The following is a 22,441-nucleotide window of genomic DNA, read 5'->3' on the forward strand; positions in this document are numbered from 1 at the left end:
TGCAGGGCCATTGGGAGGCGCAGGAGGAAGATGAGGGCTGATCTGCTCCATGGACCACTTGTATCCGCAACCCGGGGGCTGGTGTGTCACCCCTTTTCCTCACCCTCTTCCCACACACCACCCTTTCTCTACTTTCTCTCTTCTCTTCTCCCTCTCCCCCGCCTACCGAAGGTCACCTTCTCTGGTTTGAATGGGGCCTGCCTTTTAGAGCTTTAGGAAGAAAGCCTCAACACCCCCTTGAGTGGAATCTTTCTGCTTCCCTTCTGGGCTTTGCTAAGAAAACAAAATCTACGCTGTTGGAGTAGCTGCTGGAGGTGAGGAGGGGAAGAGTGAACGCCTTGAAGCCAGAGATCCTGCAGCTTTGCAGGGAGACATGAGTTTTCTCCTCCTGCACCATGGTGGCATCACAAGAGGGTTCGAGCCCTTCCAGACGGCAGACCTAGCACCAAGCACGCGGCTTGCATTGCCTCATTTATTCCTCATGACCATGCTATGAAGTAGGCATTAGTGTCATCCAGCTTTATGAATGAAGAATCTGAGTCAGAGAGAGGTTGAGGAACTTGCTCTTGGTCACACAGCCTGACTTCAGCCAAAATAGTCCAACCTCAGTGCCCACATGCTTCCCCTCCCTGCTAAACTACCAGCCAAAGACCACACTAAATGACAAGAGGCTGATGGGGGCTGAGTGGCTTCTGGCCTAGTCCCCCAGAAGAGGTGTCTTCTCCCACCAGAATTCTTTGAGAACTTGCAAGTTCTGGGAAGAAGTATCATTGGGAGAGGGAGGGAAACAGAGTCACATACATAAACAATGCAAGACAGCATGTGATTTGTGCATGTACAAGTTACAGAGGACAGGGCCTGGGAGCCCCGAGAGGGGAAGGAGCCTACAGGCCAAGTGACCAGGGGCCCCATGGGAGGGGAGGATGCTGCGCCTTCCCTATTATATTTGCCTCCCTAGGACATGCCATGCAGGCATTCTACCGGTGCAGTTGATGCCTCTCCAGGAAGGTCCTCAGGCACCAGACTTGTCCATGAAATCCATAGAAGAGGATGGACTCTGGTGGAGAAATCCTCCTTGAGCTTCATCACGGCCTCCACGGTGGAGGTCAGGCCCCTGAACAAGCCGCTCACTGGGCTTCTCAAGCCACTATGTCTCCACCCTGCATCCAGACAAGGCTTCATTTGATGCCCCCACCTCCCATCTTCCACCCTCCTTGTCGCCTTAGCTGTGCGAGATGCCCCAAAACCTGTCTGGCTCTTACACACGTGCCTGTCTGCAAGGGCAGGCTGTGAGATGCAGCTACAGGCTGTGGGCAGACAGTGCATGGCCCACGCCTGTGGCTCACCCTGCACATCGTGCCTGGAAGCTCCCTCTGAAAACACAAGGCTCAGCTTCCCCAGAGGTGGCCACACTATGCCAGGTCATTTAAACTGAGGGGCAAACTTTGAGAGAAGGAAAGAAAGAAGGAGCTGTGTGGATAAATTCCTCTTCTTTCCTCTCCCTAATGGATTGCTCCAAAGAGGACATTGCTAGGTGGTTTCTCTGGAGAATTCCAGCCTGACCAAGCAAAGGTGATTGGGAGGCTGTGGCCAGCACAATAACTCACCACCAACTTGCATTTGTTTTCCTCCACCCCTTTTCTCTTCCTTTCCTCCAAACGGTCTCACTCCCAGAATTACACTCCCTGAATTACACTCCCTGCAATAAAGCATTAACACATAAGTCCTGTAGGGACTCATATTCAGACTAGGATGGGAAGGTATCCAGGGAAATCGTAGATGGTAGCAATGTTGGGAAACGAAGGAGACCCATCTGCCACAGAAGCTTGTCCAGGTACAATTTCCAGCAGGCTGTTGGGATGGGTCAAGGAAGGCTTTGATGCTGAGCTCAGACACTTTGACTTCATTCTGTAGACCAGCGGGGAACACACTGGGTCGCCTGGACAAGAGGCTCACTTTCGGATTAAATGGGTCTCATGTTAGAGGGTGTCCCAGGTGGCTCAGATGTGCCCGACTTGGGCAGAATCACATCTTCAGGAGTAGAGGAGCCCTTTGTGCTTTTGAGCAAAGAAGTGCTGTGAACAGGACCGAATTTGAAAAAAGAGATGCAGACAGAGGGTTGAGTGGGAAGCTAAACCAGAGCCAGCAGTCCAGAGAGGAGCCTTGAGAACAGGCAGCCAGACCAACAGGCCACTTGAGGAAGACCCGTGGCCGAGGGGGCGGACCTGCAGGAGGAGCAAAACACAGAGCTGTTTCCACGGCCAACTGGGGTACTCGCCAGGAAGCCAGATGTCTGTGCTGGAAAATGTCCACACACAGCTGCTCCGAACCCAAGCCAGGGCCTGGCGGTGATGTGTAAAAGCAACAAAGACAGTGGGGCTGGACAGGGGCAGAAGGTCTTATGGTGTGATCTGGGGAGGAAACAGACACCTGGATCCTGGCCAGGTCATGAGAGTTCTATTACCCCATACTCTCCTCCAGGGTGGCTCACCTCTTGCCCACCACCCACTGGACTCAATACAACAGTTGTCTCTGTCTCAAGCCTGCAGGAAGGTAGCCAGATAGGAAGAAGATGCATGTGCTGCTGAGTGAAGATGGAGGAGCCAGAGCAGAAGGTGGGAGCTCCCCAGTCCCGAAGAAGGCAAGGGGACCACCCAGGCATGAAGACACCATCCCTGCGGAGGCCAGCTCCCCACACGCATCAGTGATCCCCCATCAGAAACGGCTCTGAACCCTCCCCTGTCTCCATCTCTCCCGCATTGCTATGGGTTGAATGCTTTTGTCCTCTCCAAAAAGTTATGTTGAAACTTAATCCCCAGTGCAACACTGTTGGGAGATCTGGCCTTTTGAGAGGGTTTGGGCCATGAGGATCTTTCCTCATGAATGGATTAACGTTGCTCTGAAAAGGGCTTGCAGGGTGGGTGGGGAATTCACTCTTTTTGCTCTTCTGCTATGTGAGGGCACATTGCTCATTCCCACTTTCCCTCCCACTGACTATGTGAGGACACAGCAAGAAGGCCTTCACCAAGTACTGGATGCTTGTGCCTTGATCTTGGACTTCCCAGCCTCCGGAACTGTGAGAAATAAATTTTCTGTTTTTTATATATTACGTGGCCTGTGGTATTTTGTTGTAGCAGCACAAATGGACTAACACACATGCTGTTCTGATCAAGCCTCACTAACCTGCACCCAGTCTGTCTATACCACATCCTTATTGGGATGCTCACCTTCTCTCCTCTTCTTCCCACTGCCATTGCAAAAATGACATTCAATATTCTCTGCACAAAACTGTGCAGAGTGGCTCCCTATTGGTCCAAATGCCTTAACAGAACTCTAAACTCATTCATCTTCTGTCTTTGTGACAGTCCTGAGGAAAGGCTGGGGTTCATTTCACCCACTCACCCAGGAAATAGACACCATTGAAATCACTTTTTGCCAAAAAAAAGAGCAATCCCTTGGAAACTGACAACTGGTGGGGATGGGAGGGTATTTTATTCCGTCAAAGATAAAGACAATTATTTTAGGAGTATTTCCATTTTTCCCTTGATGGGGGATTCTCACATCTGTTTCATCCAGGCTTTCCAGGTCCAGTTCAGTTATGGTCAGGCAGCAGTTTTCTCCCAAAGCTATTCTCTGGGTGTCTTCTTCTGTCATCTATACATAGTTTTGGGAGCTCACCAAGGTGAAATGCACCACCAGAAGGGGATTTCTTTATTTCCCTTCTACTAAGGTTTTGCTCTGACTGGTGATGAGTGTAAGAATATCAAACATCACAGAAAGCACACACGCTGGCCCACAGAGGCATTGTGAGGCCCTTTGCTGGACACCTGGGAGGGGCAGCCTGTCTGTCTTCTGCTCTGCCCTTTCCTGCTGTGTTCTGGAAGCATAGGCAAGCATTCCACAGTATCCTGCCTGCAGCTGGGGATGCTGGGCTGAGCACACAAGGAGCCACAAGGAGAGTGCCCAGGCAAGACCTTAGAGTCTCAACTTCAAAAACTATGGTGGGGCAATGGCCAAATCAGGATCATATCTTTTACAGATGTAGCCCTCCTGTTAGCACCTGATAAATCCTCTGTTCACACCTGAGATAAAGTGGGAGGGCCATTGCTCTTGCTTTTGACACCCAAGTAAGATAAGCCACACAGGCTGAGACATCAGAGAAGAGTCAAAACAATAAGACTACAGAGCCTGGCTATTTTTCTGCCAATGAGAAGCTGCTTTCTTTTCTCAAAAGCCATCAGATTAGATGGGTTCCTCCCCACCTTTCCAGCCTTTTTGGCCCCCTTCCTCACACTCTTCAACCCAGGGACTAAAGCAATTGTCCCCAGTATAACTTACTCTTCAGGGTCCATGCTTGAGCTGTTTGCTCAGCATAAATTATCCTCCCAGGAAAGGTATTTCATATTCTCCAGGGTACAACTCACCTGACACTTTTCCTTCTTCCAGAACACTCCTATCTGTAACTTGGGTTTACTCAACTCCTGCCCTATCCTCCCACAATATTTGACTATGCCTGTCATACAGTGCCCATTGCTGTAACAGCAGTATTGGTGATAGTGGAGCAGCAACGACAGTACCATCTACTGAGCATTTACCCTGTGCACACCTAGTGTAGAGTCTGTCCTAACTTCAGCCTAAAGGGACAGTGCAAGATGTTAGTGGTCTGGTTTTCTGTTGCTGTGGGATAAGCCACTCACAACTTTGTTGTTTAAAACAAAAACAGTCATTTTATTTTTTATATCCAGCTAGTCTGAGAGTTGACTGGCTTCAGCTAGCTGGTTCTCCCTCAAGGTCTCTCCTATGGTTGCAGTGGATGGTGGCTGAGGCTGGAATCCTCTGACCACTCCCATACTCATGTGTGGAGCCTGGGCTGGGGAGACTCAAACAGCTGGGGCTCCTTGGGCATCTCTTTCTATCTCTCCATGGTCCTCTTGTGAGATTAAGTTTTCTCATCTCTAAAATAGTAGTGAAAATATGAAGTATCTCGGGGGATTGTTGTAAAATTCAAGCAAGCCGGTAAACACTTGAAAATATCAGCTGATACAATGACAGTTGTTATCATTATCCAGAAGACTTGGATGATGCAGAAAATCTTCAGATACTTAAGAGCTATGATGGGCATAAAGAACAACACATGTCTACGCTCCTTCCGAGAAGACTGAGACCAGTGGATAGAAATTATATGGTAGAAGATTCTGGTGCAATCTCTAACAATAAAATAGCTCCGAGATGGAACAGGATGCCATGACCCAAAATAAGTTCCCAGTTATTGAGTGTACTCAACACAGTCTGGCTGACTGTTGCTTAGGGAGTGGCAAAGGGGGCATCCACTCTAAATGGAGGATTACCTGTAGGTCTTTTCTAACTCTGACTTCCTATAAGTCTCTGAATATGTTTTGATTGCATTGATGGAACCAAGAACATACAGTGTATACATCACTCTATTTCTTCATCCAGGTATTCATTTATTCAAAAAATATTCCTTGATCATCTTGTGATAATCCATCTTGTGCCAGGTCCTGTGTTAGGCACTGTTGATAGGGTAGTAATTGTAGCAGCACCATGAATATATGAGCTACAGGAACCTCATCCTAAAATCTGGTGGAGGATACAATTTCAAAACTGTGCAATGAGAGAAATGGTCCACTGGGAAAGAAACCCAGGGGCCGCCCAACCCCAACTGTGAAAAGGAGGAAAGGGAAGCATTTCTAAAAGAAGGTATACAGTTGATCCTTAAATAACTTGGGTTTGAACTGCACAGGTGCATTTATACACAAATTTTCTTCCACTTCTGTCACCTCTGAGATAGAAAGACTAACCTCTTCTCTTCCCCCTCCTTAGCCTACTCAATGTGAAGATGACAAGGATGAAGACTGTTAAGATTATCCACTTTCACCTAATGAATAGTAAATATATTTTTTCTTCCTTATGATTTTCTGAATAACATTTTCCTTATTCTAGCTTATATTATTGTAAAAACAGCTTGTAATACATATAACATGCAAAATACGTGTTGACTGTTTATGTTAACAGTAAGACTTCTGGTCAAGAGTAGGTTACTAGCAGTTAAGTTCTGGGGGAGTCAAAAGTTATGCAGATTTTCAACTGTGTGTGTGGTGGGTCACCCCTAACTCTCATGTTGTTCAAGGGTCAACTGTATTTAATTTGAGAACTGAAGGATGAGTACAACTTATCCTCCCAACTGTGGTTGGGAGTGGAGAGGAGGGGTTGGAAAGAAGAGTGAGCCTAGAAGAGGGAATACTACATGGGATGATTCAGAATGAGAGAGAGCATGGTGGAGGGGATGAATATTGTTCTTTATGTGCTCAGGGCACAGGATATGAAGTGGGCAGGGCATGTTTGAAGCACCCTATTGATTATTCAGAGGTATTCTTGTGCCATTGGCATATATGCTTTCATCCAGCCTCCCCCTACTGCTTCCATTTAGAAAGTTATTATTGCATTGATGAGGCTTGTCCTAGTAAGGTTGCAATGGAAATGGAGAGAAGGGAATAGATTGAAAAGATCTTCAAGGAAGAATTGGCATGCCTTGAAACTGGAATTCATTAAAAATAGGAGGTGAGCAATTAAGTTAATGTTTAAAGATGACCAAGATTTTCAACTTGACAGACTCAGGGGAGCTGGAAAGAAGAGCTGATGAGAAATGAAAGATAAGGAATTCACTTTAGAACATGGTGACTCAGAGATAATGGCAGTGCAGGAAATGTCCTCTAGGTAATTACAGATTAGAAGCCAGACAATGAGTGACAGACTGGTCTGTATTTACTGACTCAAGAGTCGGTAGGAAGATAGAGCTACGTTTCCATCATGCCAGATAGAATCAGACTTGTACTCCCATCATAAGCAACTAGAAAGCTGGATTTTAAAAACTATGAAACACTGGACAACTGGCAGTATAAGACTGTTATCCCTAAGGAAAGGGAAACAAGTAAGGCAAATCCTTTCTCCCAGGCCATATTTTTCATACTGTGGCATAGAGAAGGGGAACCTAAGTAGACAACAGCAGCCTCAATGAGGTGAAGAGACAGAGTCTGGAGTTTGGGAAAACTGAGACTGGAAGTTCTGCGGTTTGATACTGAAGAAAAGAGAATCATGTTGAAATAAAGAGCTTCATAAATCTGCATAGAGATTCTCAGGAGTCAATTGCCGAATGCCGAGCAACAAATGCATAGTGTACAGCTCTATAAGACTTTGAAAGAACCACCAGGGAGCTTTAGGATAAATAATTCCTGGAATCCTGAGTTCTGATCAGCCAGAATAAAGACACTTTGTTTAACACTTGTGCCACTCAGGGGAGACTACAGAGTTATGCCTTATTAATAGGGCTAGAGATTAAAGGCTACTATAGACTTGTATTAAAATATATTAAAAATAGATCACAGAGGCTGGGCAGAGTGGCTCACACCTGTAATCCCAGCACTTTGGGAGGCCAAGGTGGGTTGAGCTCAGGAGTTTGAGACCAGCCTGGGCAACATAGTGGGGCCCTGTCTTTACAAAAAATACAAAAATTAGCTTGGTGTGATAGCATGCACCTATAGTCTCAGCTACTTGGGAGGCTGAAGTGGAAGAATCACTTGAGCCCAGGAGGTTGAGGCTGCAGTAAGCTGTGCTCATGCCACTGCACTCCAACATGTGCAACAGAGCAAGATGCTGTCTCAAAAAGGAAAACAAAACAAAACAAATAAAACCCAGATGTCAAAAGGATCCACAAGTAACTTAACTTTGGCCAGAGCAAAACTAAATGTGCTCTGAAGGATAAAAAAATGCAGACACTTAAAAATGTAATAATCAAAATGCCTATCATTAAATCAAAAATTAGTAGACATGAGAGAAAGAAAGGTAATGTGACCAACTATGCAAAGAAAACTTATTAAACAGAAGCAGACCCAGAAACCGCAAAGATGATGGAATTAACTGACATGGTCTTTAAAACAGTAACTATAGACATGCTCAAGGATTTAAAGAAAATTACCAAAATCATGAGATAAATAGAAGAATTAAAAAGCACCCAGTGGAATTACCAGACCTTAAAATATAAAGTATCTGAAATGAAAAATTCCCTAGATCAACTTAACAGCAGATTCAATGAGTAAAAAAAAAGATTGGTGAACTGGAAGATACATAAGTATAAATTACCCATTTGAGACCCAGAAAGAAAAAAGACTAAAAAAAAAAAAAAAAAAAAAAAAAGGACAAAGCCTTAGTGATTTTTAGAGCAAAATCAAGCAGTGTCACATATGTGTTATTGGAAGCCCAGAAAGGGAGGATGGAAAGGGGTCAGAGAAATATTTGAACGAATAGTGGGTGAAAACTTTTTCAGTCTGATGAAAATATAACCCAAAGATCTAAGAAGCCAAACAGATCCATCAGGAGCCTAATCCATCAGGATTAACATAAAGAAAACCACACAAAGACACATTATCACCAAATTGCTAAAAAACAGTGATAAAGAGAAAATCTTTAAAATCTTCAGGGTAAGAAGACAACTTTCATATAGGGCAACAAAGATAATACTTATTATAGACATGTCATTGAAAACAATTCAAGACAGAAGAAAAGGAAATTAGATCTCTGAAATTCTGAATTTAAATAAAAGAAAAACATTAAACCTGAAATTCTGTGCTCAGAAAAAATATTCTTCAAAAGAAAGGGGCAATAAGAACTTTCAGAGACAACAGAAGCTGAAAAAATTCATGATCTGCAAACCTGCACAAAGAAATACTCAAACTTTTGTGGTTGAAAGAAAATGACACCAAAAAGAAACTCATATTTTCTCAAAATAATGAAAAACATAAACGGTAAATATGTGGGTGATATGGTTTGGATCTGTGTCCCCCCACCCCAAATATCTGTTCAATTGTAATCCCCAGTGTTGGAGGTGGGGCCTAGTGGGAGGTGATTGGATCAGGGGGCAGGATTCTCATGAATGGTTTAGTACCATCCCCCCTTGGTACTGTATAGTGAGTGAGTTCTCACAAGATCTGGTTGTTTAAAAGTGTGTGGCACCTCCCCACACTGCCCCCTTGCTCCTGCTCTACCCATGTAAAATGAGCCTGCTTCCCCTTTGCTTTCTGCCATAATTGTAAGTTTCCTGAGGCCACCCCAGAAGCCAAGCATCATGCTTCCTGTACAGCCTGCAGAACTGTGACCCAATTAAACCTCTTTTCTTTGTAAATTACCCAGTCTCACGTATTTCTTTACAGCAGTGTGAGAACAGTGAGTAATATAATGAGTAAATATAAAACATTTTTATTGTGACTTTTTAAAAGATAATTTACTGTTTAAAGCAAAAAAATATACTTTTCTGCAGAGACTAAACAAATATTGAAGTAAAATATATGACAATATTAACACAAAGAATGGTAGGGAGAAATAGAAGTTCATTTTTGTAAACTTTTCATGTTACACATGAAATGGTATGAAATTAGTTGAATTCAGACAAGGATTAGTTGAAATAAATAACTAAATAAACTATGTAAATAACTAAAACATTAAAATAAAGAGGTATAGCTGAGATGGAAATAAAATGGAATACTAAAAGATACTCAGTTAATCCAAAGTATGGCAGAAAAAGATGGAAAATAAAAATTAAAAACACAGTTTCTAGTTCAGCCTAACAAAAGTAAAAAGCTGAACAAATGGAAAAAATCAGCAGCTCTTCTTAGATCCATAAAAAAGTGACATCACAAGCAAACCATTGTCCCCAAAATTGGAGAGACAGATGGTAGATACAGAAAATCACAACACATGAGAGCACAAACCTCTGCAGAAACCAGGGCCAAAGTAGAGTAATTGATTAACTGCTGAGGCCTCATAGTGACAAGTATGAAAGATTTTTTTTTTTTAAATCTAAGGTTTTCACTGGGCCCCCAAACTTTTGTGAATTTCAGCTCCTGGAGAGAAGGTCTTAGCTAATGCAATAAGGCAAGAAAAGAAAAGTACACGGATTGGGAAGGAGTAAATGAAACTGTCTTTGTTCACAAATAACATGTTTATCTATGTAGAAAATCCAAAAGAGTCACACACACACACACACATACACACACAAAAACACTGTTGGAAATAAGTGATTATAGCTGGGTTATAGAATATAAGATTAATATACAAAATTTAATCATTTTCCTATATGCCAGCAATGAACAACTGCAATTTGAAATTAAAAGTAAAATAACTTGCATTGGCACCCCCTCAAATAAAATACTTAGATAGAAACCTAACAAAATATGTACAAAATCTATATGAAGAAAACTACAGAACTCTGATGAAAGAAATTGAATAACCTAAATAATGGAGAACCAGTCCATGTTCATGGATAGAAAGACTCAATGTTGTCAAGATGTCAGTTCTCCCCAACTTGATCTATAGATTCAATGCAATTCCGATCAAAATTCCAGGAAGTTATTTTGAGGATATTGACAAACTGATTCTAAAGTCTATATGGAAAGGCAAAAGGCCACAAAGCGCCTCCACATTATTGAAGAAGAACGAAACTGAAAGAATGACACCACCCAACTTCAAGACTTACTGTAAAACTACAATAATCAAGACAATGTGGTATTGGTGAAAGAACTGACAAAAAGATCAGTGGACCACCTAGAGAGCCAGAAGTAGACTCACATAAATATAGTCAGCTGATCTTTGTCAGAGGCACAAAGAAAATACAGTGGAGAAAAGAGAGCCTTTTTAATAAATGATGCTGGAACAACTGGACATTCATAGGCAAAAATATAACTCTAGACACAAACCTTACATGTTTACAAAGGTTAACTCAAAATGTAGGATTTAAAACTATAAAATTCCTAGAAAACAGTATAGAAGAAAATCTATGTGACCTAGAGTTTGGTAATGATTTTTTTAGATACAATACCGCAGGCCTGATACATAAATGAAAGAACTCACAACCTGGATCTCCACCAAAATTAAAAATTTCTGCTCTGTGAAAGACACTGTCAAGAGAATAAAAAGATAAGCCACAAGCTGGGTGAAAATATTTGCAAAAGACACATCTGATAAAGGACTGTTATTCAAAATATACAAAGAAATCTTGAAACTCAACAATAAGAAAATAAACAACTCAATTTAAAAATGGGCCAAAGACTTTAGCAAACACCTCACCAATGAAGATATACAGATGGCAAATAGAATATGAAAGTATTCTCCACATCGTAAGCCATTAGGGAATGCAAACTAAAACAGTGAGATACCATTACACATCTAACAGAATGTCCAAAATCCAGAACGCTGACAACACCAAATGCTGATGAAGATGTGAAGCAATAGACACTCTCATTGACTGTTGTAAGAATGTAAAATAGCACAGTAGCTTTGAAGGACAGTTTCATGGTTTCATGCTGAACACATTCTTAACATAGAGTCAGTAATTGTGCTCCTTGGTATTGACCCAAAGAAGTTGAAAGCTTATGTTCACACAAAAACCTGCAAACAGACATTGATAGCAGCTGTATTCATAATTGCCATAACTTGGAAGCAAGCAAGATAATCTTCTAGTAGGCTAATGTGTAAATACTCTGTAGTACATTCAGACAATGGAATATTATTAGCACTAGAAAGAAATGAGCTATCAAGCCACAAAAAGACATGGATGAATTTGAAATGCATATTACTAAGTGAAAGAAGCCAATATGAAAAGGCTACATACATACTATGTAATTCCAACTATGTGACATTCCAAAAGGCAAAACTATGGAGACAGTACAATTATCGGTGGTTTCTAGGGGTTGAGGGGAGAAAGGGAGAGGTAGGCAGAGGATTTAGGGGGCAGTGAAACTATTCTGTATATATTGCAATGGTAGATATCTATCATTATAAGTTTATCCAAATTCATAGAATGTACCCTACCAAAAATCAACCCCATGTAAACTACGGACTTTGTGTGATAATGATGTTTCAATGTAGGTTCGTCAGTTCTAACAAATGTACCATGCTGGTGGATGATATTGATAATGGGGGAGGCTATGCATGTGTGGGGGCAGGGGATATTTGGGAAATCTCTGTACTTTCTGCTCAGTTGTTCTGTAAACCTAAAAGTGTTCCAAAAATAAAGTCTGTTTCTTTAAAACAGAAAGGTTGACACCTATGGAAAACAAATAATAGGATGATAGACTTAAACTTAACCATGTCAGTAATTACATTAAATGTAAAGAGTTGTGATATTCTATTTAAAGGCAGAGATCATAGAACAGAAAAACAAAACAAAACAAAACTAGCAGTCTGCTGCTAAATGTTTAACAACCAGCTCCCCAGAGAAATAAATGTCCTAATTTGTATCGATTGTGGGTTTTGTGGTGTAAAGACTTCCACTATGGTCAATGTCAAGGTACAAGGTGACGTCTACCAGCTTGCAAAATTCCTGAAGATGTAACAATTAGCTCTTGTGAGTCAGTATGTGCTGGCCCCAGCACATCACTAGTTAAAAACCCATCTATATACTGTTTACAAGAAACACAACATAAATATAAAGACACTGATAAGTTGCAACTATAAAAAATGGTAAAAGATGTACAATGTTACTAACAATCATAAGAAAATTTGAGTGGTTACATTAATTTCTGACATAGAAAATTTTGGTAAAAAGGATATTTTACGCTAATAAAGGGATCTACTTATGCAGAAGACATAGTTCTAAATATTTGTGCAACTAATGACAGAACTTCAAAAGACACTAAGGAAAAACTGACAGAACTGAAAGACAGATATACTTGGAATTATAGTTTCAACACTCCTTAGTATTGATAGGACAATTTGACAGGAAATCAGGGAGGATACAGAAGATTTGAACAACACTCTCGATAGCTTTGACCTTTTTGACATTTTTCAAAAATTACATCAAACAACAACATAATATGTATACTTAACAAGTACATATGCAACATTCACCAATATAAGCCATGTATTGGGCCATAAAACAAGTTTCAATAAATTTAAAATATTTTAAATCATACAGAGTATATACTCTGATCACAATAAAATTTTATTCAAAAGGAAAAACAAAACATGTTTGGATTGCATCTAAACGTTTAGGAATTAACACTCTCAAAAATTAGAAGGGATATTAGAAAATATTTTAAGCAGACTACAATGAAAACATAAAGAGGAAATCACAAGGAGAATTAGAACACATTTGGAACTGAATGAGGATAAAAATACAACATATGAAAATTTGAGTGAGGCAGCTAAAATAGTGCTTAGAGGAACAGTTAAAACTTTGAAAATTTATATTATAAAATAAGTTCTAAGAACAATGATCTAATTTTTCACTTTAAGAATCTAGAAAAAACAAGAAATTAACCCAAAATTAATATAAAAAATAATAAAAACAAGAGTGAAAATCAAGAAAATAAAATATTAATAAACAATACAAATCAATGAAACAAAAATGAGTTCTTTGTAAATATTTATAGAAACCATAAATTCTAGCTAAACAAATCATGAATAAAAACAGATAAGACAACATATCAGAGTAAAGATGGGACACAGATACTCCAAACATGAAAAAGGCAATAAGGATGTATTAGGAACAACTTTAGGCCAATAAGATGAACAATGTAGATGTAATGAACAAATTCCTTAACAGATACAAGTTACCAAAATTGATAAAATAAGAAAAAATTTGGATAGCTCTATAGCTATTAAGTCAGTTCACAACTAAAAACCTTCTACAGTGAAAAAGCCAGATCCAGATGGTTTCACACTGGTAAATAATAATAATGCCAGTCCTGAAGAAATAATACCAATCCCATACCTTTTTCACAAAATAAAAGAATATATACCTCCCCCCTCATTTATGCATTGGAGCCAAATGAGACTTTACCAAGGAAAACACACACACACACACACACACACACACACACACACACACCGTGTAGACCAATATCTCTCATTAACATAGATGCAAAAATCTTTAATACAAACTTACCATACCAAATTCAGGTATACATAAAAAGGGTATACCAACTAGGGTTTACTCAGGGATGAGGTAGGTCTAATGTTTCAATCAATTAATATATTTCATCATATTAACAGAAAAAAGCCCATAAGATCATTTCAGAAGCATCTGGCAAAATTCAACACCTATCATGTTGAAAACTCTTATCAAGGTAGAAGTCAGATGAAACATTATTAATTGATAAAGGGCGTTCAAAGCATAAACAAAAGCATATTGCTAAAAATCACACTGAATGGTGAAAACCTGACCATTTGTAGAAACATAACAAGGAGATGTCTATTCTCATTATTTCTATTCGCTATGTTGCTGGAGGTCATAGCCAGTGTAAAAATACAAGGAAAATATATGAAAGGCATACAAATTGAACAGGAAGCAGTGAAATTGTCTTTATTCACAGATGACATGACCATGAATGTAAAAAATGCTAAGGAATGTCTAAAAACATTACTAGAAAAAATAACTAAATTCAACAAGTTCTCTATAAACAAAGACAAAATATAAAAATCAAATTTGTCTCTATATAATGGCAGCAAAGAATGAAGAATGAGACATAAAACAGCATCATTTACAATGGCATCAAAAAAGTGAAATATTTAAGGATTCAATATAGTTGCATAATTATATAATGTATAACATATCAAATATATAAAATATGTAAATATTTGGGGATATATGTTTACATACATATGTATATTAAATGTACACTAAAAAATTACTGAACATTGCTAAAAGAAATTAAATCTCTACATACATGGAGAGAAATATCTTGTTCAAAGATTGAAAGACTCAATATTAAGATGTTAATTCCTCCCACATTGATCAAAAATTTGACATAACCCCATTCAAAATCCCAGCACACTTCTTAAAAAAATAACAAACTGATTCTAAAATTTACTGGAAATGCAAAGAAAACCTAGAATAGACAAAAAAAATTTTTTTAATAGAATAGCAACATAGGAGGCTTGCTGCTTCTTCATTTCAACACGAATTATAAAGCCACAGTAATCACGACAGTGTGGTATGGGCATAAGGATAGACACATAAGTCAATGGAACAGCACAGAGATCTACGAAATAAGTTCACACTTCAATGGTCAATTAATGTTCAGTAAAGGTGTCAAGGTAATTTAATGGGGAAATGATAGTCTTTCAAAAATGGTCCAGAGGTAATGAACACCCATATACAAAAAAAAAAGAACTTTCATTTTTATCTTACACCATATGTAAAAATTAACTTGGAATAGATCTTAGATTTAAATGTAAAAGCTAAAACTATAAACTTGTAGAATAAAATATAGAAGACATCTTCATGACCTTGAGGTAAGCAAAGATTTTATGGGATACAAAAAGAACAAAGCACAAAAGAAAAAATTATAAATTGGACTTCATTCAACATCAAAAACTTTGACTTTTCAAAAAAAAAATCAGTAAGAAAATAAAGCCAAATCATCACTGACTAGGGGAAAATATCCACAATATACATTCCGGACAAAGAACACGTATCCAGAATATTTAGAGAATCCAATAAAATTAGACAAACAACTCAATTTTTAAAATGTGCAGAACAATTGGATGCATCACAATGATGACAAATAAACACATGAAAAGGCACTCAGCATCCTCAGTCATCAGAACATACAAATAAAAGTGTGTAAAAAGAGATATCCCTTTGTACCTCTAAAATGGCTAAAATCTAAGTGAGAATACCGAATACCAAGTGTTCCAAGGAGGTGCATCACCTGGAATCTGCATGCCTTGCTGGTCATGAGCAACCACTGTGGAAAATGGTGTTGATAACTTCTTGTAAGTTAAACATACACTTACTGTGCAATCTAGCAATGCATTGCTAGACGTTTACCTAAGAGAAATGAAAATGCATGTCCACAGAGATGTGCTCACAGATGCTCAATGCCGCTTTATTCATGATAGCACAAACTGGGAAAGAGCCAGATGTTCATCCTCAGGTGAAATAATAAAACAGAAGATAGATCCACACACAGAAATACCAGTCAGGAACACAAGAGATCAGAATATGGATAGATGTGATGGTATGGAGGAGTAAAGCAAGGCAAACAAAAACAGAAGCACACACTGTAAGATTTTACTTATATGAAATTCTAAAATAGAATAAACTAGCCTTTGATGGCACAAAGCATATCAGAGTTTGCCTGGGGTCAAGGGTTGGGGGTGAGGAGGTTGATTGCTGAGTAACATAAGGCAACTTTTGGGGGTGGTAAAAATATTTTATATTTGGCAGTGATGGCTACACATTTGACAAAACTCAGCAAAAGTCTACACTTAAAATGAATAATTTTTATGGTTTTTAACTTACACATCTGTAAAGTTAATTTGTTTTTTTTTTTGAGACAGAGTGTTGCTCTGTCACCCAGGCTGAGTGCAATGGTGCAATCACAACTTCCTGCAGCCTTGAGTTCTTGGGCTCAAGCAGTGCTCCCACCTGAGCCACCTGGGTAGCTGGAACTACAGGCCAGTGCCACCACTCTTGGCTAATTTTTTTTTTAATAGAGGCCAGGGTCTTGCTATGTTGTCCAGGCTGGTCTCTAACTGCTGGGCTTAAGTGATCCATCCTCCTGCCTTGGCCTCCCAAAGTTCTGGCATTACAGGTGTGAGCCACCATACCCTGCCGAAAGCTGATATTTTAAAGTACAAAGGGTATTCCAGGAGCAAGCATGAAGAACTAGATGCAACAACACAGAAGCCTGCAGGGGCAACTGCAATCTGTCTAGCATTACAGTTCTACAATATGAAAAGGAAGACCCAGCAGAACCCACCGATGAGGGGAGAAAGGCCACCACCTATGGCCCTCAAGTGGTCGACTAAGAATTAGATGTATCTCATGTATGTTGACTAATGAAGGGTTTCAATCAGGGACTAACGTATTGAGTTTTGTTTCCCATACTCACATCTGGCACTCATGTGGATAATAAGTTGTAAGATTAAAACCACCTTTGCAAAATTATGACTGAGACAGCAAAAGAGATCTGACTTAATCAACTCCATCCTGCTTCTAACCTCCAAGCTGCCCTTGTTCATTCATGGGCATAGGCTGAAATAACTTTGAGAGAAACTTAGTTTATAGTTCATAGTTTAAAAAGGCAATAACAACCCTTTCCCAAAGCAGACCCCCTTCTTGCCTGGGGACTAGACTGCCTTTGTAGGACTAACATTAGCCACGAGATTAGAAATGATGGTTTAGGAGTCACGCAGCTGGAGGCTACAAGATTCTGACCCTCCCTAAACTGCTCCTAAGATCAGTGCTTGAGATATTTTTCAGACCCTGCACTTGATGGATCAGCTGGCACCACCCAGATCTATTAACTGGCTCATCTGATCTTGTGGCCCCCACCCAGGAACTGACTCAGCACAACAAGACAGCTTCCACTCCCTATGACTTCATTCTTGACCAATCAGCACTCCTGGCTCACTGGCTTCCCCCCACCCACCAAGTTGTCCTTAAAAATTCTGCTCCCTGAATGCTTCAGGGAGGCTGATTTGAGTAATAATAAAACTCCAGTCTCCCGCACAGCCGGCTGTACATGAATTACTCTTTCTCGTTTGCAATTACCCTGTCTTGATGAATGGGCTATGTCTAGATAGTGGGCAAGGTGAACCTCTTGGTCAGTAGCAAGAGGTTAGACAGGAGACTTAGGGATGAAGTTAGATATGCAAAAAGCAGAGGAAAATGAGCACAGCTGAGGAAAAGCATTTGAGACAAAAAGTGAAAGGATTTGGAAGTTGATTTGCTCAAGGGATGAGGGGCAGACAAGCCATTTGTGATGGTTAATACTGAATGTCTGCTTGATTGAAGGATGCGAAGTATTATTCCTGGGTGTGTCTGTGAGGGTGTTGCCAAAGGACATCATATTTGAGTCAGTGGACTCCGAGAGGCAGACCCACCCTCAATCTGGGTGGACACCAACTAACCAGCTGCCAGTGCAGCTAGAATAAAGCAGGCAGAAGAGTCTGGAAGAAATAGACTAGCTGAGTCTTCTGGCCTCCATCTTTCTCCCATGCTGGATGCTTCCTGCTCTGGAACATTGGACTCCAAGTTCTTCAGCTTTTGGACTCTTGGATTTACACCAGTTGTTTGCCAGGGGCTCTGGGGCCTTTGGCCACAGACTGAAGGCTGCACTGTTGGCTTCCCTACTTTGGAGGTTTTGGGACTCAAACTAGCTTCCTTGCTCCTCAGCTTGCAGACATCGTATTATGGGACTTCACCTTGTGATTGTATGAGTTAATTCTCTTTAATAAACTATCTTTCATATATACATTTATCCTATTAGTCCTGTCCCTCCAGATAATCCTGACTAGTACACCATTAAACAAGCAAATGTACAAATTAAAAAAAATTAAGGTGAGATAGCCCCATTAAAAAGAGCCAAACATGTTGAGTGGACACCTCAGAAGGAGTCTTGTTAAAGAAAAATTATTCAATGACATTTGTTAAGCACAGGAAGGAAGTCTCTATTCAGGACCATTGTGATGGGCATAAGGACCACTGCAAAGGGGTCTTGTGGTAGAAGAGAGAGATTGGGCTCAGCTCCAAATACAACACAGGAAGTAGGCATTTATAGCCAGATAACAGGGAGGAGTCAATTCATGGAACATGACTAAGAGGAAAGAAACGTCAGGAGTGAGGGGCATTCTGCTAACAAGATCACCTAATAGGATCCTTGCTGAAGTCAGGCCAAGGTGATCAGACCTCACCTGGGGGAGGGTGGAGGATGAGGAAACTGATCAGATTTCACTGAGGGTGATCAGCATGGTGTGTTCTGGCAAACTACTTTGCAGGGTTTTTTGCTAAAATATAATTTTGCAAGGAAGTGCACAGATGGGCCAAGGAGAAGGTTCAGGAGCCTGACTAAAGTTTGGTCAAGCAAAGAATCTTTCTTAGTATAAACCTATGGCCAATAAACACATAAAAAATGATCAGAGGAATGCAAATGAAATCCACTAGAATATATCACTTTGTACTATGTGATTGGCAAAAATTACAGTCTGACATCATCAAGTGTTGGTTGAGGATGCAGAGCAACAGAAACGCATGTTCATTGTTACAACCGTTCTGTGACACAGTGGAGCATTATCTACCAAAGTTGAATATACACATTTCCTATGACATATTGATTTCACTCCCAGGTATATACCCTGGTGCCTAAATGCACCTGGATATATATACAAGATTGTCCATAGCAACATTGATTATAATAGCCCTGTTAACCTTAAATAATGAGATTCAGGAAATATGATGAAGCAGAGAGTTTATTTGAGCACAAAGCTTGAGAACAGCCTCCCTGAAAATACAGACTCCAAAAGAATAGGTCAGCATTCCAAAGTGGGGAGGTTAGGGTTTCCCTATACAAGCTGTTGACAAGGTTGCAACATTTTCCACAGTACATATGTTATAGTGATTTGGTTGGTTACACCTCACTATATTCCATGGAAGATCACTTTAGCACTACACGAAGAGGGGCGATGATCTGAGGGTTCTTATCTCTGGTGCAACAAGACCTTTCCTATTCGTTTACAGGAAAAAGCAGAAGTTGTAGCTGTATGCTGTGTAACTCAGGCAGCATAGCCACTTTCTTCTCAAGGCTCAAAATAATTTAAAGTTTCAACAGCTTTATGTTTGAATTATTTACTTTCACAGCCCACACTGAAACAAGCCAGATTTCCATCACTGGTAGAATAGATACATGAATTGTGTATATGCTTATGAAAAAATACTTAAGCAGCAGTAAAATAAACGAACTACATCTACATGCATGGATGAGTCTCACAAATGTAATTTTGAATGAAAGAAGTCAGATGCAAAATAAGACATATTCTGTTAAGTTCCACAAAAGGCAAAGCTGATGTCTGGTATTTAGGGATACACACTTAGGTAGCATAACTATTGCAATAACAACAAAAGCAAGAAAACTGTCACCGTAAAAGTCAAGATGATGGTGTCAACCTAAAATTATCAAAAGGGTTAGAATCTAGTTTAAAGAGAGTTTATTCAAGCCCAAAGTTTGAAGACAGGCTGCTCAGGAAAGCACAGATGCCAAAGAGTGGAAGTCAGTCTTCCATTGACTTCCATTCAGTCTTCCGAAGCGCTGAACCGTGGGATTGTGTATATAGACAAATTTTGGGGAAGCTTAACAGAATGTCAACATCTTTCTATGTAAGGCTTAATGGATAGTTACAATAATCTGATTAATCAAGGTGGCCTTTTTCTTATGGGAAAGGTATATTAACCTTCTGCATCAAAGATGTAACAGTCATGGGGTCTTGGTGGCCATCTGGTCTGAGTTAGGTACAGGACAAGAAAGAGTCAATTAATCTATAATAAAGATCAATGATTGAAAGAAGGGAGATCTGGTCTCTGTCTCTCCTAGTCATTTACAGAACAAGAGCAATGAGGAAGACCGTTATGCTATAATCTAAGAAACAGAATTGGAAATATGCTACTGACTCAGTCTCCAGGGCTTAACTTCCCCCTTGGCATAATAAATTTAAGGAGTCCTAAAATTTTATTTTCTCTTACATTGGCCACCCCTGTTGAAGGAACCCTAAGGTCCTTCTGGGGTGCTAGTAATATTCCACGTCTTGATTCAAAGGATGGTTACATGGTCGTGTACTTTAGAACTATGTATTAATTTGAGCAGTGATGTGTTTCATGCACTGTTCTTTATGCAAATGAAAGTATTCAGAAAACACTACCCCAAACGTGCTGCTTTGTGTGCTGACTACTTCAAACTGAAGGCACTTGGGAAGCAGCAAATGCAGGGAGTGGCTTTCTTTGAGCTTCCTTGATCTGCCTAAAGACTGGATTATCCAAAAGGAGCTCTCTTGTAATGAATCATTTCCCCAGAAATTTTATCAACCAGGGAAGATTAACTCTCATCACAGGGGAGAAAACTGGAAGTTGACACCATGCCCAGACTATTACTACCTGAGCGACCTTTAATCTGCACAAGACCGCCTTTCTTCACTGTACATTTTCTCCTCTTGCCCTGCCGTAACCTGTGGTCCCCATCACCCCCCAGAACTCCAAGCTCCTGGTTGTTTTTTTTTTCATAGCTCAGTATGGTGTATAAGTTTTAATCATCTGACCCTTCTTGAAGTCTAATGTTTTGTGAGATTCCTGTGTGTATAAACACAATTAAATATAATTCTCCTCCTGCTAATCTGTCTTATGCCAATTTAATTTGTAGCCCAGCCAAGGAACCTAGAAGGGTAAAGTCATTTTTTGCTCCACTACACATATTATATTTCATGACTTAAAAATTTAAGCAATGTCAGCAAAATAGGGGTGGTCATTGAAAGCGTTAAACACACAGGGCCACCAGTGCACAGTGGCATGGGGAGCACATTGCACAATGCCAGTGGCATCACTTCCATGGACATCAATGATTCCAAAGGCAGGCAGCCAACCAGGGAAGTGCAGAGCCCATAAGAGACCCTGAAAAGCAGCTCCCAGAGAATGACCTTTCCTCTCTGTGGTCCTTGGCCAGGTCCCATAGCTCTCCCAAGCACACCTCCTGGATTTCCCATGGGAATGCCCAGATGCAGCTGGAATCAAAGCTACAGGTAGTCATTGCTCCAGGGCCCCTCCCAGGGAGAGAGCAAAGGATTTATAATGGACATGAGAGGCTTTGTCCTAAAAAAGACACTAAAATGAAGATGTAACCACAGGAGGGTCTTCTGTACTGGCCCTCTCCTTCTGCGGATGTGAAAACTGGAGGCGCAGAGACACATGTGGCCTCTTCTTGGTCAAGAGAGAGTTAATGTCCAGGCTTGAAGGAAGCCCTTCAAGGTTCTTCTCACATTGAAGTCAGGCTGTTCCCCTAGGATCCCTGTCCTCTTCATTTCTTATTCTAAATTTGTAGATTAACTCATGTTAATGATTCCTGATGGGTGGAAATGTTATTCTATTAACATATTTGCATAATGATAGGAACTTCAGTGCCTTAATGGGGGAAACTGAAGTCCCAGGGAGGGCCAGTGGAGCAGGAATTGGCGGCTCTTGGGGACTTTTGTACTTTTTGCTTATTTGAGAAAAGTCATGGATTCCCTCCCCAGAGAAGGTAACGTGAGCCCAAACTGTGGGCTATTTGAGGGGATTCACAGACCCCCTCCACCCTACCAACCCATCTAAGGCCCAGACTAATACCATGAGGGAAGCCAGACTCTTCCCCTCTGGCTTTAGCCCTGATGACTGCGTGCAGTGGTGACAAGGCACCCCATCATTTGATGGTGTTTGGGGAGACAGAAAGAGAAAGAGAGATTGAGAGAAAGATTATCTTCTGTAATTCATTAATAATAATGTTACCGAAGGTAGTTGGTCAGACATACGCAGGGCAGGAGAGAGCGCCCCTGGCCCCTACAACCCCAACCAGAAATATCAGGCAACAATCACTGATGGTCAAGCAGTGGTTAAACTGTTTCT

General features: G+C 40.5%; 1 annotated feature.

Moving 5' to 3' along the window:
- Window positions 21,617–22,207: an enhancer, noted in NCBI's record as "OCT4-NANOG hESC enhancer chr1:4881125-4881715 (GRCh37/hg19 assembly coordinates)". NCBI's record gives its function as "activates a minimal SCP1, AML or CMV promoter by ChIP-STARR-seq in primed H9 embryonic stem cells {active_cell/tissue: H9 hESC(primed)}" and the evidence as "EXISTENCE:reporter gene assay evidence [ECO:0000049][PMID:30033119]".

The sequence above is a fragment of the Homo sapiens genome, chromosome 1, assembly GCF_000001405.40.
Source record: "Homo sapiens chromosome 1, GRCh38.p14 Primary Assembly".
Classification (NCBI taxonomy): Eukaryota; Metazoa; Chordata; class Mammalia; order Primates; family Hominidae; genus Homo; species Homo sapiens.